The sequence below is a fragment of the Homo sapiens genome, chromosome 4 (assembly GCF_000001405.40).
Source record: "Homo sapiens chromosome 4, GRCh38.p14 Primary Assembly".
Classification (NCBI taxonomy): domain Eukaryota; kingdom Metazoa; phylum Chordata; class Mammalia; order Primates; family Hominidae; genus Homo; species Homo sapiens.
This window is the reverse complement of record NC_000004.12, coordinates 131,804,177-131,824,190: the sequence shown is the minus strand read 5'-3', so window position 1 is coordinate 131,824,190 and position 20,014 is coordinate 131,804,177. Positions and strand designations below refer to the sequence as shown.

Genomic DNA, 20,014 nt, shown 5'->3' with positions numbered 1-20,014 from the left:
TAAAATTTTGTAGACCCAAAAAGTCTCAGTGCTGTGTATAGTATTCTATCTTGCACTGTATATTTTGGATTTGGAACTTGGTATGCCCATTGCATTATTGTATTAGTTTTTCAGTGAACAAATTTCTTTTTAAAATATTCACCAAATCAGTGTTCTTTCTAGTTTGGATTTATTTTTATCAATTCTGTTCAGAAATTGTCCAATTCCTGAATGTGAAAATTTTTTTCTTTAATGACTTATAGAAAATTTCCAGTTATTACCTCTAGATATTGCCTCAATATTACCTTAAATGCACCCAAATTATCTAATATAATAATATTTTTTGTCCATCTTGCTCTATATTGATAACTTTATTTCTCTGTGATATATATTTATTGTATTAATTTTAATCATCCATATCTCATAGGTTTTTAAATTCAATTACTTTATTTTTATTTTTGGATATCCTTTGCCAAATCTGCCCTTCATTTCTTTTTAAATGTCTTTAGTGTTTATATATGTTCATTACATATTATTAATTTTATAATTTTTTCAAATTATTCATCTATTTTTACACATACTTTTAATTCTGCTGTTTTACATCTGCTGACTCTTATTGCTGGTATTTTTTCTTTTTTTGAGACAGAGTCTCACTCTGTTGCCCAAGCTGGGTTGCAATGGTGCAATATCAGCTCACTGCAACTTCCACCTCCCAGGTTCAAGCAATTCTGCTGTTTCAGCCTCCAAATATCTGGGATTATAGGTGCCTGCCACCATGCCTGGGTAATTTTTTGTATTTTTAGTAGAGACGGAGTTTTGCCATGTTGGCCTGGCTGGTCTCGAACTCCTGAACTCAGGTGATCCACCCGCCTCAGCCTCCGAAATTGTTGGGATTACGGGTGTGAGCCACCGCGCCTGGCATGTATATTATTTTTCATTGTGTACTTTGTAATTTTTGTTTGTGAATTTATTTTTAATATAGTTTTCGATTTAACTTGTTAGTTTCTGTAGTGGCAAATCCTTGTGTTTGCAATATTGGATTATTTCTCCATAAGAGTTTCTCATTTCTTCTGCTAGGAAATCCGTGGGAAATATTGGAATTGGGCTAGTTTTTATTTTATTTCTAATGTTTAAAGTTTCTGAAAAATATTGGCATTATAAAATTCTACTTCAATCCTGAGTAAAGAATAAAGTGCTAGTGACAAATTCCCAGTTGTGTTTTCCTTTCTTAGTATTTGAGAGCCATAGCAAATGTTGCATACCCTTTGATGTTAAGCAGAAACTTTTGTCTAGACATTGACTTCGGGCTTTAAAATACGTAGTATCTCCCCCGGATTAAAGGTAACTAGTCCCTGATTTCTATTAAAATATAATTTTTAGAAGCTTAAAATCATAGCTCTCAGACAAATATAAAATGAATAGGTTTTAAAGATATTAATTTGAATTAATAAATAACAAATAGATGTTTTAAATGACACAAAGGGAATCTGAGAAACTGGGACATTTAGAAGCAATTTAGCAAAATAACGTTAAGATTGCTTGGTTAAATAAATAAATATAGATTGATATATAACAGGGTCATAAATCTGTGAGGTTATCTCTTCTACTAAGGAGATATATTTGTATCTTTACAGGAAAAAAAAATTCATGGTGCAAAATCCCTTTACTAAATCTGGTACCTTTAATTATTATTGTATAGCACTTAAGTATAGGAACTTGAATATAGCCAATATATTCCTAAAGATCTCCTAAATTACTCTCCAAATAAAATGTTTTTTGTACATAATTTTTCTGTTCCCATTAATTATCATTCACAGTTTTATTTTGTTTTGATTTTTTCTTTTGTTCCTCCCCCCTCCCCTTGGCATTCAGTTAATTCTTCTATTTTCTTTCCCAAACAGGCACGTTATAATTAAATGTAATGGTTGGCTGAATCATAACCACATTTAAATATTGCTCTGTTTTGCTATTTGTTTTTTTCCTTCTTTCTTTCCTTTCTTCGTTCTTGCTTTTCTTGGCAAGCTTATGAAGTTTTATTTGTGTAACTGCTACACAAAGAAACTTCATTGTGTTTGTATTTGCCCTTCAATTTGATCATAAATGCCTTGGTGGCAATGAATATACATAGCTATTTCTGCGTCCTAAGTAGCATATATGTAGGTTTTGAATACAAGATTGATAAATGTTTGTCTTGTGAAATTAAAATAATTACTGATGTCTACATATTGTTTCCAGCTTGCTTCTCTGTTGTTTCCTCTTTAGATATGCTAGATAACCACTTCAATATGATTCTTCTTATGTAAAACCTCATATATTCTCAAAATTATAATGTATGCATTCAACTAACTGTACATCTACAGTACAGTAAAAAATGAGATTGTAGTAAGTGAAAATGCATTTGTAAGTATAGGCAAATTTTTAGGCAAGACACCTTATAAAGATCACTTTAGAAATTAGATCAAGTAAAAATAAATCACAAAAAGAAACGTGAATTAGTCATCTTAAACATTGTTTTAGGCAGTAAAACAACATTGAAAAAAGAGGATCTTGTAAAGCCTGATACTTGATTCCTATAGGATAACTAAATCAAATCAGATGTTTTAGAGGTAATGGTCACCTGATTGTTTTCTCTTGAGTTTTTTCATTTAATAGGTGCAGTGGTTCTTGCAATGAGGAATTTTTTTATGGAAATGTGAAATAAAGTACAGAAATTCCTAATGAAAACCTGTCTTTTAAGTGGATCTCTAAATTCTAAGAAAGTGCTTATATTATCTTAGTTATTTAGCCATTAGCCTGTCAATCATTAGGAAAGTAAGAGCAATTTACAAAGCATCTACCACTGTGCTAGTACTTGCTCACATGTTCTCGTCCACCTAAGGGAATATTCAAAGCATCTTAATAGTTGCTACTAATTCACATAATTTAATTAATAGAATAGCAAATACATTCTCATCTTATTTCACATTTTTAACATACACAAGATATAGCTATTTTATAGTGATTAGGTTTAGTAAAAATAACACTGATAAAACTCAACTGTTAGCATGTACAGTTTTAGGCTATATATTTTTCAAAACAACAAAATATAATTTTTTTAGACTCAACTTGAAATTTTGTAAAAAATAAAGTTTCAGAAATAGTAAACTATCACAGAACAAGAAGCATAATAGAAAGTAGAAATTGTTTTGATATAAAAAATACTATAAATAAAACGGCTAAATGTTTGTTAATATTCATATACTGATACCAAATATTAGATGCCTTGAATCACTAAATTAAATTGTCCCTAAATATTACATTTATTATTTAAAATGTTGCTTACAAACCTCAAGAGATATTTTTGCCAGCTTATAGATGGGAGAATTTAAAAAGATGTTGATGTTTTTAAAAATAGCTTTTAGAAAAACAACAAAGTGATTTTATGTCTGGAAGTGAAGACCCTTGGAGGAATTTTTCTCATGGACTGTCAAAATATATACCCAAACCATAAGTGGATGTCTGAGTAATAATTCATTTACTTTTATTTGATTTGTCAGGTTTTATTTTTCAAAACAAGAGTCAGAATAAGTGATGTCTTTTAGTTGGACTTGTTTCTATTGTTTATTAACATATCCAAGGAACACATAGAGTGAATTGGCAGAATATAATCATATTATCAAATAATTATTAGTTTAGTCAGTTTCATAAGCCTAGATAATCAAATGAAAATACATAATAATATAATTATGTCATAATTTTTATCAAAATTTTAAAATTAATGAATTAAATCCAGCTACCAAAGATAAGGGTTTGTGAAAAGTAGATACAATATTAGAGTGGAGGTTGTAATGAAAACTCAGAATGGGCTATAGTATTAAAAAAAAAATAAAGACCTCCAGTATTTTTTTTTCTCAAAATGGCAGATTAGAGTCATGGTTAGCATGCATCTCCTATTTGGAAAGACAGAATTGTGTGTAGAGATTGACACTGTAAATTTTTTCCAAGAAGCAACACAGAAAATTAACAGGAAAACCGAAAGAAAGCACAGACTCTTTGAAAGAAGTGTCAGGTTGCTGTCTACATCATGAGCCAGGAGGAAAACTATAAGTCCCTAGAATGTCAGATAGGGATAAACTGCCTCTAGGACATATACTCCTACTGGGGAACCAAGCAATCCAGGCCACAGGGAAAGGCCTTAATCCCACCCAGTGCTGGAGCTGATTTAGTGAGGAGTGGGGCATATATGAGAAGTAGCAGCATGGGGATGGGCTTAGTGTGCATGCCCAGCAGGACAGAGGAAATCCATCCCTGATCCTACCTCACAGGGGACCTCACAGAAGTCAGCCAGGTAACTCAGGCAGTGGTCACAGGTTGCGAGAAGCTCTCAACTGAGATTCGTGATATAATCTCGAGTGGAGACGAACCCCCTTGGCCACAACCATGGGGCAGATGGGAAATGTGCTGCAGCCATAGGTGCAAGAACTGGGTGCCCCTGCTTCATGGGCCGACTAGGAGAGGCGTGACCTGGAAGCCATGGTTGCAGTCTCTTCTGGGAAGTCTTATGGCCTTGGGCAGTGTTGAGTTCTGAGTGTTGACTGCTTGGAACCAAGCTGCTGCGAGTGGGACGTTGCAGGTGCAAGACCTGCTTTGCCAAGTGTGTGGGAGCTGAGCGGGGCTAACTGCTGCCTGCTGCTCCCTATTCCTCATACAGATGCTTCTCTGCAGCAGAGGCAGCTATGGTACTCCCTGCAACATTACTGCTACAGCCAGAGGACCACTATCTGATCCCCACTGGGGACACTGCTTTTGCCCACACATGGCAGAAAAAGAGAGCCAGAATGTGAACTTGCCTGATCCAGCCCCCAACTGGCTTTGCCCCTCCATCTGCCCTGGTAGCTTAACACAAAGAATAGAAAATTTTGAGAGCTCAATGGCCCTGCCCATTGCCTGAGTCATCAGATTACCTCCCCTGGGTAACATAAGGCAAGCACAAATCCCACTGCTACCAGCTGGTGCTCTTTTTCAAGTGCCACCTTGTGGCTGGAGGCCTACTGACACAATCCATTTCAGCATCTGCAGGCACGATAACAGTGCACAGGAAAGAGAAAACTTGTGTGTGACCTAAGCTATCACCTTTGCCTATATAACCTTGGCTAACTAGGAGGTCCTGAGTCTGTCCATGTGACCAGTTCATTACTACTACAGGTGGCATTACAGAAAAACCAATGCACCAAGACTACTTATAATCAAGAAATCTCACAAAGTCTATGTCATTCTCCTGTCAGCCCCATGAGAGCTGTTGTTGCTACTCACTACTGAGTCTTGAGAACAGATCACATCACTGGGTCCCTTGCAGACATTCCCCAGCACCAACCTGGAGTGTGGCAGTCCCACTAGGTGGCTAGAGACAGATAAGTAGCAGCATTCATACTAGTCTGGCCCTCAGGGACTCCTACACTTAGGATAAGGGTGAGTGCACATCAGTGGCACACCCCATGGAAAAAAGAATCTAGATGGCAGGACTTGAGTCCAGAACTTCCCACCTGTGGAAAGTTTCTTTCAGTAGAGGCACAGGTACAGTGCTGGACTTGGGAAAATCTGCAGAAGGGTCTTGAAGAAAAAGACTTTCCCCCCTCATTCACCACTGCAGACACAGCTGGTGTTTCTCTTATGGGAATTTAGCATGAGTGGACCTGTAGATAGCCTTTCTGGAACACTTCAAGTTAACTGCGTCCCCAGAGGAGGAGTCCCCTCCAGATTCAGATTTGCGTAAGGCATAGAATCACAATCTCTCTCTACTTGGAACGTCAGAATTCCTGCAAATAAAAAGGGCCTGCTAATCTGAATAGCTAGAACTGTATTTAGGGGTGTGACCTGCTTTCCTGGGGGCCTGGCAAGGGAGCTGAAGTGGCTCCCTCCCTTCCCCGTGAAAAGACCTCAGTGCATTTCACTAAGAGCTCCCACAGATGCCTCAGTCAAGGCTTGGACTTCTTCCCACCATTGGGTATTGCATTTACCAATCTGCTGGTTTTCATTCAGGGACACCTACCCTACTGGCCTGAAATCTGAATTATTCAACCAGGTAAAGAAAACACTGGGAGAAATAAAAAGGCAAAAAAGTGTACACCACTTGGGAACTAGATAAGCTTCATAAGACCTCTGCCATTGCTACCCCACAGGAAACAGTGAACCTCCACACACACGCTGAGCATAATGTTACCACAACTAGCATCTGAGAAAGCCAAAACACAAAGATTTTAAATAACCAGGGAACTTATACAGTCTTCACCCCTGAAAGCACCCAGAGCTGAATTAGGTTACAATAAACTATAAACATTAAAGTCACATCCTCAAGGTGAAAAAAAAAGTGAAAAATCACACTCAAATAAAAAAATAAATTCAAAAATAATTAGAAGATATAGTCTCAAAAGTAATTAGGAGATATACTCTACCCAAATGAGAAGAAACCAGAAAAATAATTCTGGCAGTAGGACAAAATAGGGTTCTATAACACCTCAAAAAGAACACAGTAAGTCCCCAGCAATGGATCCCAACCAAGATGAAATCTTTGAAATGCCAGAAAAAGAATTCAAAGAAATAAGCAAAGTCTCTTAGAAATAGGTGATTATGTAAAATGGCCAAATATAGCAATTGCTGTTCCTGAGAGAGAAGAAACAGCAAAGCCTTTTGAATACTTATTTGAGGGCATAATTGAAGAAAACTTTGCTAGCCTTGCTAGATATTTAGATGTCCAAATACAAGAAACTCAATGAGCTCTGGGGAGGTTCACTGCAAAACTGACATTACAAAGCCATATAGTAATCAGGCTATCTAAAGTCAACATGAAGAAATGAATTCTAAGGACAGTGAGACAAAAGCATCAAGTAACCTATAAAGGAAAACCTATTAGACTAACAGCAGACTTCTCAGCAGAAATCTTACAGGCCAGAAGTTCACTCTATCTTTAGGCTTATCTTTAATATCCTTAGACAAAATAACTATTAGTCAAAAATTTTGTATCCAGCAAAACTGAGTCTCATAAATGAAAGAGAAATAATGTCTTCCTCAGACAAGCAAATGCTGAGGGAATCTGTCCCTATCAGACCAGTCCTACAAGAAATGCTAAATCTTGAAACAAAAGGTTGAGCTGCATCAGAATAGACGTCTTGAAAGTATAAAACTTATAGGGTCTATAAAGCAATAACAAAGTGAAAAAAAAAACCCTAAAATTTCTAGGTAACAACATACTGACTGGAATGCCACTTCACGTCTCATAATTGAAATTGACTGTAAATGGTCTATATACACCACTTAAAAGACACAGAATGGCAGAGTTGATTTAAAAAAAATCACAAACCAAATATCTGCTGTCTTCAAGAAACTCACCTAACATTCAAAGATTCTCATAGACTCAAGGTAAGGGGGTGGAGAAAGATATTCAATGCAAATGGAAACCAAGAGCAAGCAGGTGTAGTTACATCAGATAAAGTAGACTTTAAAGCAACAATAGTAAAAAAAAAAAAAAACAAAGAAAGTCATTACATAATAATTAAATAATTAATTCAACAAAATATAATAATTCTACATAAGTATGCACATAACACTGGAGCTCCTACATTTATAAAACAATTACTACTACACCTAAGAAAAGGAATAGACAGCAACACAATAATAGTGAGGAACTTTAACACTCCACTGACAGCACTAGACAGATCACTGAAGCAGGAAGTCAACAATAACAACAAAAAAACACTGGACTTAAGTTGCAGTCCAGAAGAAATGGACCTAACAGATGTTTACAGAACATTGTACCCAAAAACTGCAGAATTCACATTCTTCTCATCAACACATAGAACAGCCTCCAAGATACACCATAGGATAGGCCACAAAAACAAATCTCAATAAATTTTAAAAAGTCAAAATTATATAAAGTATCTTCTCAGGTCACAGTGAAATAAAACTAGAAATGAGCTCCAAAAGGAACCCTTAAAACTATATAATTACCTGGAAATTGAACAATCTGCTTCTTAATGATTATTGGGTTAGCAATGAAATGAAGAAAGAAATTAAAAAATTCTTTAAATGGATGATTACAGTGACACAAGTTATCAAAACCTCTGGGACATAGCAAAAACAATGCTAAAAGGAAAGTTTCTAGCACTGAACACCTACATAAAAAAGTCTGAAAGATTACAAATTGACAACATAATGTCATACCTCAAGAAACTATAGAAACAACAAATCAAACTTGAAGCCAGGAGAAGAAAAGAAAGATTAAAGCAGAACTAAATGAAATTGAAATAAAAATACAAAGTTTAATGAAACAAAAAGTTGGTTATTTGAAAATAGAAATAAAATAGATCATTAGTTAGAACAATTAAGATTGTTAGAACAATTAAGATTGTTAGAACAATTAACAATTGTTCTAACAATTAGTTAGAACATTAGTTAGAACAATTAAGAAGATAGAAGTTTAAATTAGCTCAATTAGAAGTGAAAATGGAAACATTTTAACCAATATCACAGAAATATAAAAGATCATTTGAGACTACTATGTAACCTCTATGCACATAAAAATAAAAGTAAAGAAAACAGACAGATTCCGGGAAACATACAACCCTACAAGCTTAAACCAGGAAGAAATAGGCATCCTTACAGACCAATAACAAGCAGTGAGACTGTATAAGTAAGAAAAAAAAATTGCCAACTAAAAAACCCAGACAGATCACAGCCAAATTCTATCAGACATTCAAAGAAGAACTGGCACCAAGCCTACTGAAACTACTCTAAAAGATTGAGAAAAAGGGAATCCTCCTTAACTCATTCTATGAAGCCAGTATCACCCTGATACCAAAACCAGAAAAAGGCATATCATAAAAAAAGAAAACTACAAATGAATATCTCTGATAAAGACATATGCAAAAATTCTTAACAGATACTGGCAAATCAAATCCAAAAGCATATCAAAAAGACAATTCACTATAATCAAGTGAGTCTCATCCCAGGGATGCAAGGATGACTCAACATACACAACGTAATAAATGTGATGTATTTCATAAACAGAATTAAAAACCAAATACATATGATCATCTCAATAGATGCATAAAATCATTCAGTAAAATCCAGCTTTGCTTTATGATAAAAACCCTAAACAAACTAGACATAGAATAAACATATCTCAAAATAATAAAAGCTATATATGACAAACCCATGGCCAACATCATATTGAATGGGGAAAAGTTGAAAGTATTCCCACTGAGGGCTAGAACAAGTTAAGGATGCCCATTTTCACCACTTCTACTTAACATAGTACTGGAAGTCCTACCCAGAGCAATCAAGCAAGAGGAAGAAATAAAGGGCATCCAAACTGGAAAAGAGGAAGTCAAATTATCTCTGTTTGCTGATGATGTAAGCATATACTTAGTTAAGCCTAAGAATTCCACCAAAAGACTCTTCCATTTGATGAATGAATTCATAAAATCTTAGGTTACAAAATGAATGTACACGAATTAGTACTACTGCATAGCACCAACAATGATCAGGCTGAGAATCAAATCAAGAACTCAATTTCTTTTACAATCACAGCAGAAAAAAAATTGAAATACACTTAACCAAATAAGTGAAAGATCTCCATAAGGAGAGCTACAAAAACTGCTGAAATAAATTAGAGATGATATAAACAAATGGAAATACATCCCATGCTCATGGATAGAAAGAATCATATTTGTGAAAATGATCTTACTGCTAAAAGCAATCTACAGATTCAATGCAATTCCTATCAAAATACTGACATCATTTTTCATAGAATTAGAGAAAGCAATTCTAAATTCTTATGAAACCAGAAATGAGCTTGAATTAAAAAAGCAACTCTAAGCAAAAAGAACAAATCTGGAGGCATAGTGTTAAGAGACTTCAAGTTATAATACAAGGTTTTAGTAATCAAAACAGCATGCATGGTACTGGTATAAAGGTAGATAAATAAACCAAAGGAAAGGAATAGAGAAACCAGAAATAAAGCCAAATGTATACAATGAACTGATCTTCCACAAAGCATTCAAAAACATAAATAGGAAAGGACACCCTATTCAATAAATGATGCAGGGAAAACAGGATAGCCACATGTAGAAGAATGAAACTGGATCACTCTTTCTCACCATCCACAAAAATTATAAGATGGATCAGACTTAAATATAAAACCCAAAATCATAAAAATTCTAGAAAAAAAACTAAGAAAAACACATCTGGACATTTACCTAAGCCAAAACTTTATGACTAAGACTCCAAAAGTAAATGCAACAAAAACAAAAATAAATAAAAAGGACATAAGTAAACTAAAAACCTTCACAGCAAAAGAAATAATCATCACAGTAAACAGATAACTCAGAGAATAGAAGAAAATATTTACAAAATATGCATCTACCAAATAATTAATATCTAGAATTAACAAGGAAAACAAATCAGCAAGAAAAAATAATCCCATCAGAAAGTAAAAAAAAATGACATGAATAGACATTTCTCAAAAGAAGATATACAAATGACCAACAAACATATAAAAAATTCTCGACATCACTAATCATCAAAGAAATGCAAATTAAAACCACAGTGAGATACCATCTTTTCCCAGCATAATAGGCATTATTAAAAAGTCAAAAAAAACAAACAAACAGATTTTGGCATGAATGTGGTGAAAAGGGCATGCTTATACATTGCTGGTGGGAATGTAAATTAGTACATCCTTTATGTAAAGCATTACGCAGATTTTTGAAATAACTAAGAGTAGATCTAGCATTCAGTCCATGAATCCCACTACTGGTTATCTACTCAAATTAAAAAAAGTCATTGTATCAAAAATACACCTGCATGTATATGTTTATTGCAGTACAATTCACAATTACAAAGATACAGAACCAACCTAAGTGCTCCTCAACCAATGAGTGGATAAAGAAATGTGGTAAACATACATCATGACATACTACTCAGCCCTAAAAAGAATGAAATAATGTCATTTGCAGCAACTCCAACTGGAGCTGGAGGCCATTATTCTAAGTGAAGTAACTCAGGAATGGAAAACCAAATATCATATATTCTCACTTTTAAGTGGTAGCTAAGCCATGGGTATGCATATAGAGTGGTATAATGGACATTGGAGACCACTAAGGGGGAGAGTAGGAGGTGGGCGAGGGATAAAACACTACATATTGGGTACAATGTACACTACTTGGGTGACAAGGGCACCAAAATCTCAGACTTTACCACTCTGTAACCAAAAACCACTTGTTCCCCAAAAGCTATTGTGTTATATATGTATATTACATATGTCTAAGTATAGCCATAGATATCCAGGATATTTTTTTTAATCCTTAAAAAACCATATGATTTAAGAGAACTTAAAGTTATTAAAAATATATTATTATTTTAATTATCCATCTCCCCTGGTAGTATGCTATGCAAATAATAATGAGGAGATATTAAAGGTCCCTGGGTTTCTCATGGATTCTCTCAAAGCACTAGCTTCTTGAGACTCTTCACACACTGAGAGAATTAGATCTGTAGCCCTTTGTCCAGTTAATTTCTCTGATTTGAAACAATAGAAAAACTTCTTTTACTCCCCTAAGAGGGTCAAATTTTTAAAATCCTTAGATTACTAGGTTCCTAGGTTAAGTCCTAGGGTAAAAGGAAGACTAGGTTTTGGTATTCATATGTCAAAAGATATGAGGTTCCAGAATTTGGAGACAGCTATAGGTCATAAAAACTTGGAGACACAGGGTTATTTGGCTCCAGGAGAGATTTTACAACATTCCAAAAGTTTGGAATAAAGAAGATATCCTCTTAGAAGGACAGAAAAACAGCCGTTTCCATCCTATTATAAGTAGAAAAACAAAGACAAGGAAAAAAAACATTGTTCTTAATTTCTTGCTTTCAGAGAGTCTGGCCTCTCACTAGGATGATCTGGATCTCTTTATACTGTCCAAAGATAAGAACTGGGAAAAGGAGCAGCCAACACACATTATTAAGAAATCTGTTTCTGACTGAGAACACAGTGTGGACATTTAAAATAAAATTAACAAACTTGAGCCCAGGAGTTTGAGGCTGCCATGAGCTATGATGGCATCACTACACTCTAATGTGGGCAACTAAGTGAGAACTAGTTTCTAAATAAATAAAGAAATAAATACATAAATAGTAAAATGAATAAGATGAGTATTAAAAGCCCAAAAACAGATTCTCAAATTTTGTTGAATATGTGAATGGATGAATAAATATGAAATGTAGACGGAGACATTAGGAAGAGGTTAGCTTTCACTGAAAAATATACACAAATCAAATTCCAAATAATTAAATATGTAGAATATAGCTTGTTTACAACAATAAAAAATAATGTTCTCTCTCAGAGAAAATTAAGAAAATCAATTTAAACTCAACTGTTATAGAAAGAAAGATTACTATCTATTTAGCAGTGCTTAAAAAGGAGGTCATAGAGAATTAATTCCAATATAAACATGAACAGCAATGCAAAAAATTTGGAGTCAATGTAAAATATTATTTGATGGTGTGAATAAATAATGAAATAAATGTTCATAAGATAAATTGTTGAAATAATTTGAAATCATTTTTGAATACTTATTGAAATAATTAAATAAATTGTTCATGAAAAATTACTCCTTTTGAGGAAGACAATCCTCATTTTACTACAATTTCATTATTTTATATTGGCAAGAGAAGAAATACTTTGAAAAACATTAATAAAGTTTACTTAAACAGGAGTATGATCCTCTTTCAGATGCAAAATACAAGATAGGGGATGGAGCAAGTCTACCTTCCTTAAAAAGGTAGCTGAAGTCATCAGGAATTGTTTGTGTCATGCTACAGACCTATACTGAAGAATAATAAATGAAACAGACTTATGAACTCACCAGATATATTTACACTAAGCATACTGATTAGAAAGCTCTCCTCATGTAATTTCTTCTTCCTGAACGATCTCAAAAAATATAATTTCAGGTCTAGATAATTGAAATAAAAGTGCATCCCTGAAACAAATTATTTAGCTCTTACTTTTTATAAATACTCTAATTGCTAAACTTATCAGGATCATGACCTACTTTGTATAGACAAATTAAATTCTAATTCTCCAGATCACAATATATAGGCTTTAAGTCACCATAACTTTTTCCCATTTGCCTAATTTCTGCCTTTCTTTGAGGTCTCTACCTTTTGTAACTAGTTTTTAATTTGTAAAATATTTACTTAATATTAGCTGATTTATAATGAATTAGTTTAGACTAGAATGGCATTTGAATACTTGTGGAAAATAATATCACTTGTAGACCTAGAATACTTTGGTAGCTACTTCATTTTCTCTGTCTCTTTCTGAAAAGTTAGCCAGCTTGCTTTAGGCAGACAGTAAGGGAAAGTTCCCCCCAGAGAACCTGCTACCTGCTCCACAAGTATTTATACCAGATGTTTTGTGCAGATAAGGGTGCTTGCTCCGGGGGCTTGCCTAAACATGCCCGCAGTGGAAAATTTTGTTTCTTAACACATGGGCAGTAAGAAAAATAAATCAATATGGAATGTCTCAGACTAAGGGTCTGCATGCACTCTGGAAGGATGCAGTGGAGCCTACAGGAATTCATGCCTTATACAAATAGGGAACTCAGCCCGATCAGCTTATATAAAAATGCCTTTGTATTCACCTGTGAAGAGGGCAACCAGGAACCTACTTTCAGGACTCCTCTCTTTGCTGAGAGCTTTCCTTTAACTTAATAAATTCTATACAATTCAGAACAATGTGCTCTCCCTCCGTTTTTAGAGACATGTCCCTTACCCCAACCTCCAATGGCCACAGGTACACATGTGAGACAAATGGGAGAGCGGCATCTCCCAACCTCCCTCCCCTCCCGGCTGGGGCACATAACCCAAGGGCCCCACTTGCCTAGGTGGCCAGCATTTCCTGCTCACTCTTCCCTCTCCCCATGCACCCACAGTGTCTTTCCTCCCCTGGCTGAGCCAGAAAGGAGGAGACAGCAATTAAAATGTTCTCTCCCTATTGGAGGAACTCATTTGCATAAAAATAAAAGGTTTCTCCTCCAGGCATCTTCCCCACCCTGCACTTAAGCTGTTTTATTTTATTTTTTTTTCTTTTCTCCACTTTGTAAGGAGTTAACTTTTATGAGAGGTTTTTTTTTTTTTTTTTTTTTTTCTTATTAGGCCAGGACCCCAATTCCCAAGATAGCCTTTTCTCTCCCTTGGTTAAGGAAGACCCAGCTCCAAAGCTTTAGGTTAGCATGACTAATTTCTGCCGATTAGGCCCCCTTCCATCTCGTGGATAGAGGTCATTCTAGTATCCATGGCATGCATGAAATCTAGGGAACTCAAAGGTTATCGACAACAGTGGGACTAGCAGCGCATGGGTAATGGTGGATAACTCGCACCCTGTAAGGCCCCTGTTAACATAGGTGAAAGCTGCATTGGCACCCATGGGTGGTAACCTGCCAAGATCACCAGGACTCAGGGATATAAGAACAGAAGAAAGAAAGAGGACACTTTTCTCCTCTCCCTCATGTACCTCAGGTATTTACTAGGAAAAAGAAGAAACGAGGGATGCCTTGCTCCCCTCTTCTTAGGTGGGTAACCAATCATCTGCAGCCCATATTTCTCTTGATTGCCTCCTGAATCACTAGGACTCCTCTGAAAAAACACCTTCTTTCTCCTTTTTCCTCCTCTGTCCTCTCTTTGTGGGTGGGTCATTGTGTCTCTGTACCACAGGACACTCCCTTCGGATGCATCCCTTAAACTGGGAAAAGTTAATTTCCCCAAACCTTAAACTGCTTGGCTCAAAACTGAGCATGAAAAAGGGCAACTCAGAAGCCTGGTACACCAGCAAAGGGGTAAAAGTTCTTACCAGGGCCGGGTGCAGTGGCTCACGCCTGTAATCCCAGCACTTTGGGAGGCCAAGGCAGGCGGATCACGAGGTCAGGAGATGGAGACCATCCTGGCTGACATGGTGAAACCCCGTCTCTAATAAAAATAACAACGACAACAACAACAAAAAAAAATTAGCCGGGCGTGGTAGCGGGCACCTGTAGTCCCAGCTACTCCGGAGGCTGACGCAGGAGAATGGCGTGAACCTGGGAGATGGAGCTTGCAGTGAGCAGAGATCACACCACTGCACTCCAGCCTGGGGACAGAGGGAGAGTCTGTCTCAAAAAAAAAAAAAAAAAAAAAAAGTTCTTACCAGTCAGACTTCTGGCCTCCCTCTCCCTGTGCAAACCAGTTGAATAAATGATAAAATCTCTGTTTAAATCACTGTTTATATCCTCTCTGAAGTTCTGATAAATAGAAAAAAAGGATTTATGAGGCTAGTCTTAAGCTGTAGCCAATGTAGTGTGCTTTGTGTGTCTTTCTGTATAGTTCTGTCATAAAGAGGGGTACCTTAGGATAGAATGTAGGCCTAGGACCCCAAAAGTTTGCTGATCAAGCCAGCCTGGCAAACTGGTCAGTAACAAACCTTGCTGCAGTTCTTCATCTTGTTTTATGTCCTTAGGAGCTTGACCTTGTAACCACTTGATAACATAGGGAATGAGTATATTTTGGTTAATATCTGTGTGACTTTTACCATTTGCTGATTCTCTTCCCCTCTACAAACAACTTCTAGCTTCCTTTCTTAAATCTTCCTTTGTCTGAACCAACTTTAAAGATCTTAGTTTCTGTAAAAACTGCTTAGCACCTCTTTGAAAATAACTTTTACACTTACAGTTAAGTCATAACCTTAGTTGAGGCTTGTTGGTTTCACCTGTGAGGTTATTTTTAATAAAGTTCAAAAGCCAGAAATATTGGCTGCTCGGCATGGCTAAAGTTGGGTAATAGATTTGAAATGATTTTCTTAGAGCACAGCTGAATTAAAATGGATATCCAAGTTATAGGTATATTTAAAGGCCTTTAAATTTTTCTCTGCATGGATCTTGTTTTTCTGGAAAAAGGTTCTTTCTCTGTTGAATGATTTTTTTTTTTCCCATTTTGTCTTGTCATTCAGTGCATACATGAGAGGCTCTAAGATAACTTCTGATAGCCTGGGGCTCCTGGGAAAAAACAAAGAAGGTGCCGCAGACCCCATTTTGGGGAAAAAAACACCCTCTGTTTTCCTCATGAAACCCCAGGAATTAAAAGTGGATAGATCCTTCTCAAAATCTATCTCTGTCTTCCAGCTATGCCTGTTTATTAGGCCCTAGAAACTGTAGGCTGTCCTAGGCCCTGCTCTTGAAGGGCTTCACCCAGAGGCCAATAATCTATTCAGGAGATTGGCAAATGAAAAATCTTACAAGTACTGAATTTGCTTTTGTTCATCTGTGTAATTTTATATTTCTTATGGGCATGATGTTTATATAAAAAAGCTCTAGGAAAATAAGCACTTAGATCAAATATTTTTTGAAGAAAAATAAAAGCTGTAATACCTTTCGAGTTCACATGATTATAATCTTTAAGAAATAAAGGCAGTTTTAAAAATAATTGGTAAAATACAAATGTCTTTAAAACGTAAATATGTGGGCTGAATCATGTAGGTCAGACACTAGGTTAGCTAAATGATTCAAAGTTATTAACTGCTTCTTTGGCTTTTAAGAACTATTTGATAAAGTTTGGCTCTGTGTCCCCACCCAAATCTCATCTTGTAGCTCCCGTAATTTCCATGTATTGTGGCAGGGACCCAGTGGGAGATGACTGAATCATGAGGGTGGGTCTTTTTATGCTGTTCTCGTGACAGTAATGGGTTTCATGATCTGATGGTTTAAAAATGAGAGTTTCTCTGCACAAGCTCTCTTTTTTGGTTTGCTACCATCCACATAAGATGTCACTTGCTCCCCCTTACCTTCTGCCATGATTGTGAGGCCTCCTCAGCCATGTGGAACTGTAAGTCCAATTAAATCTCTTTCTTTTGTAAATTGCCCAGTCTCAAGATTGTCTTTATCAGCAGCATGAAAATTGACTAATACACTATTCAATTTGCCTGCTTCACAATTAATAAGTCCAGGGACATATGGAATTAACCACACCCTTAATTATGCAGGAAGGAATCAGAATTTATTTATGCCTACTACATAATTAAAGCAACTTGCCAGGTTTTACATTAAAGTTAAAAATTGCTAACAGTTACCATAATAACCTGTAATAGAGACAATGAAAATAGATTTACATATAACATAAGTAAGGAAAGTAAAATATATTTTTAGTAAAAGATTATAAGAATGCATGAAAATGTAAATTTTTGCCTTGGGTTAAAGGATTGTTTTGAATTAGATAAGATAAAGCTGAAGGTTTAAACAATTGGTGAAAGGTTTGTAAAAATTAATCTTGCAAAAGAAATTGTGTGAACATATTGACTAATTTCAAAAAAGTATTTTGTTTTTGTAAATTGAGCATTGAAATAAAAGCACAACAAGGTTTTCTAAAGGCACTGATACGCTCTTTAACAACAATTTGTAAAGGGTTATAAAAGTTTAAAAAAATCTCACCTCATGGTCAACCTAGATAAGATTAGATATAATTGTCTATAAGTTTTCATTAAAAAAATTGGGGTTGACATCAGCAGTAGACTAATGCAAGGATGAAATTAGGCTTTCACTTGAACAGGATTTCCCTGTAAAATTAACGACAGATTGTTTGGAAAGCTAAGTTTTCCCTCTTACTGTGAATATGCTTTTGCGTTGTTTTAAAATGTTTGAGTCATCATTTTGGCTAAAATAAATGACATATGGTAACTTGGAATTCTATTTTATAATATCAAGTGCTTTGAACCTCTAACGTATTTAACAGGCTTCCCAAAATCAAACTTCAGTTTCAAAATTGTCTTTCCTGGTCCCTGGAACATCCAAAAGAGAAGAAAACTGGATTTTTTGAAATGTTTAGTTATATGGTATTTCCAAAGTTATATTTAATCTTCTTTAGGTTATATTTTAGTGAATAATATTAATATGTTTCAAAATTATATGAGATTTCTAAAATTCTAATGTCTGAGTATATGCTATCAATCATGATTAAGGTTATTATGTTTCGTTATTGTAAACCCTAGAAATAACTAAATTTCTTTGTCAATTGTATTCTTGACAGTAACTACCCTGGACATTTCATCTTTCACAGACAAATGACTTGTTTTGATCCTACTCAAAAGATGATTTATAATCAGCTATAGGATTTTGACAAGTGTTCTCAATGCAAGATTCCATTAACTCTGGAGATTATGACATTGAAAAAAATACAGTACTCATGAAGAACTGAAATGTTCATGAATATCAAGCAGAACAAGAGAACAGAATGGATTGAACTAATAGAAAACAAGTATTATTTTTAACCTTTTTGCTTAAAACTTTGGTGATCCTTGCTTTGTTTTTCTGAGTCAAGGATACTTATTTTGAACTATTTAAAGCCTTTAATAATTGAGTAAACTATATGCCTGTGAACAAAATTTGAAGGACGTTTGTTTCTCTCTGCCTGGCTTTGCCAGAATTTGGAAACTATTTGTGAGAATATTTAATTTATGGCAATACAGTTATTTTCATCAGTGCAATAAGAATACATTTTCTTTTGCAACAGGACACGATTGAAGAAACTGGTGGTTTTACCGAGGCTTTTACTGGAAGGGTATATGTTCCTTTAAGTAATTAAGCTGGACTTGCCAATAAAAGTCCCTTGGGAAAACTGGCTACATACCTTGTCAACACAGTCCTTGTACAAGGTTCCTAACCCGTGGGGAGTAAAGCATGTCACTTTTTAACAGGGCTAGGAGCCTGTTAAAAAGCTCCTGGGCCTGTTAAAAAGCTTGTTCTTGGGACATCAAGAAGAGAATGATTTACCAAACTCGTAGATATTTGAGGATGGAAACCCATGGCTGGGCTTGGCCTTAAAAGGTCTTAACTGAGATTCCTTATGGAACAGAGTTCCATCAAAGCCAATTTAAAATCCTATGGGAAAAATAATTATTCTTGTTGCACTTTATGCAAATAAGACAAGTATAAGGCTAAAGTTTATTTTTCAAACAACTGAGTCCTATCATGATTTGTTTTTGACAAAAATGAGGACTGGAGAGAGAGAAATTATGTTTCAAAACTTATTCTACATTTGTCATTACATTATAATCCCATTAGTTGTTTTTAAGTTTTTGCCTACTTTTTAGACTACCCTGCTTATTCCTGTTGGACCAACCAGCAATGTATGGCTGCAGCTCAAAAGAACCAAAGAGATGAGTAATATAAAAAATCTGGATCAATATTTTAATTCTGAACAATTATCCTGCAAATCCTTCCAGGTGATAGGAGTAAATACGTGCCCATAACCCAGAGGTTTCTTTGTTTGGGAAAATAAGACCAAGGGAGCTAATCAAAGCCAAGCCCCATGAATACAAACCTTAGCAGGCATAACTATAGCCACGAGTTATCTGGCTGTATTGGCAGCCTTGAGATTTTTGTTTTGTTTTGTTTTGAGCTGTCCTTATCCCTTTGTTTCATTTTGAATGTGTCCTCTAATAACCCAAATTGTTTCTTCTCACTTAAAGGCCATTCAATTTCAAATGGTGATGCAAACAGAACCACTCATGAACACACCGTTCTCTTTGGGGACCCTTAAACTGACCTCAGGAGGAGCCTTAACTGCCACTTTCCCAAAACAGCACCCCTTGTCGGCAGGAAGCAGTTAAGAGCAGTAGTTGTACACTTTCCCCAACAGAATTTGGGGTCTCCACTCCTGAAGGGAGGAATGAAAGGAGTCAGCCAACTTGCTTTAGGGAGACAGTCAGGAAAGGATCCCCTGGAGAACCTCCTACCCACCCCCTAGGTGCTTATACCAAATATTTTGTGCAGATAAGGGTACTTGCTAAGGGAGCTTGCCTAAACATGCCCATAGTGGAAAATTTCGTTCCTTAACATATGTGCATTAAGGGAAATAAATCAATATGGAGCGGCACAGACTAAGGGCCCACATAACTCACCGGAAAGATGGAGTGGAGCAACCAGGAATTCACGTCTCATACAACCAGGAATTCACAGCCCTATCAGCTTGTATAAAAATG

The 20,014-nt window shown here is 35.7% G+C and overlaps 1 long non-coding RNA gene across 1 annotated transcript in view; it reads right to left on the bottom strand.

Annotated features, from left to right (window-relative positions):
* LOC105377425 (uncharacterized) overlaps window positions 1–20,014 on the bottom strand; it is a 64,594-nt gene extending 44,580 nt beyond the window's left edge. The window contains exons 1-2 of the long non-coding RNA XR_007058477.1: window positions 19,934–20,014; window positions 19,579–19,689 (exon numbers count right to left, since the gene is read on the bottom strand). This is a non-coding gene — a long non-coding RNA (uncharacterized LOC105377425). The remainder of the gene's footprint in view (window positions 1–19,578; window positions 19,690–19,933) is intronic.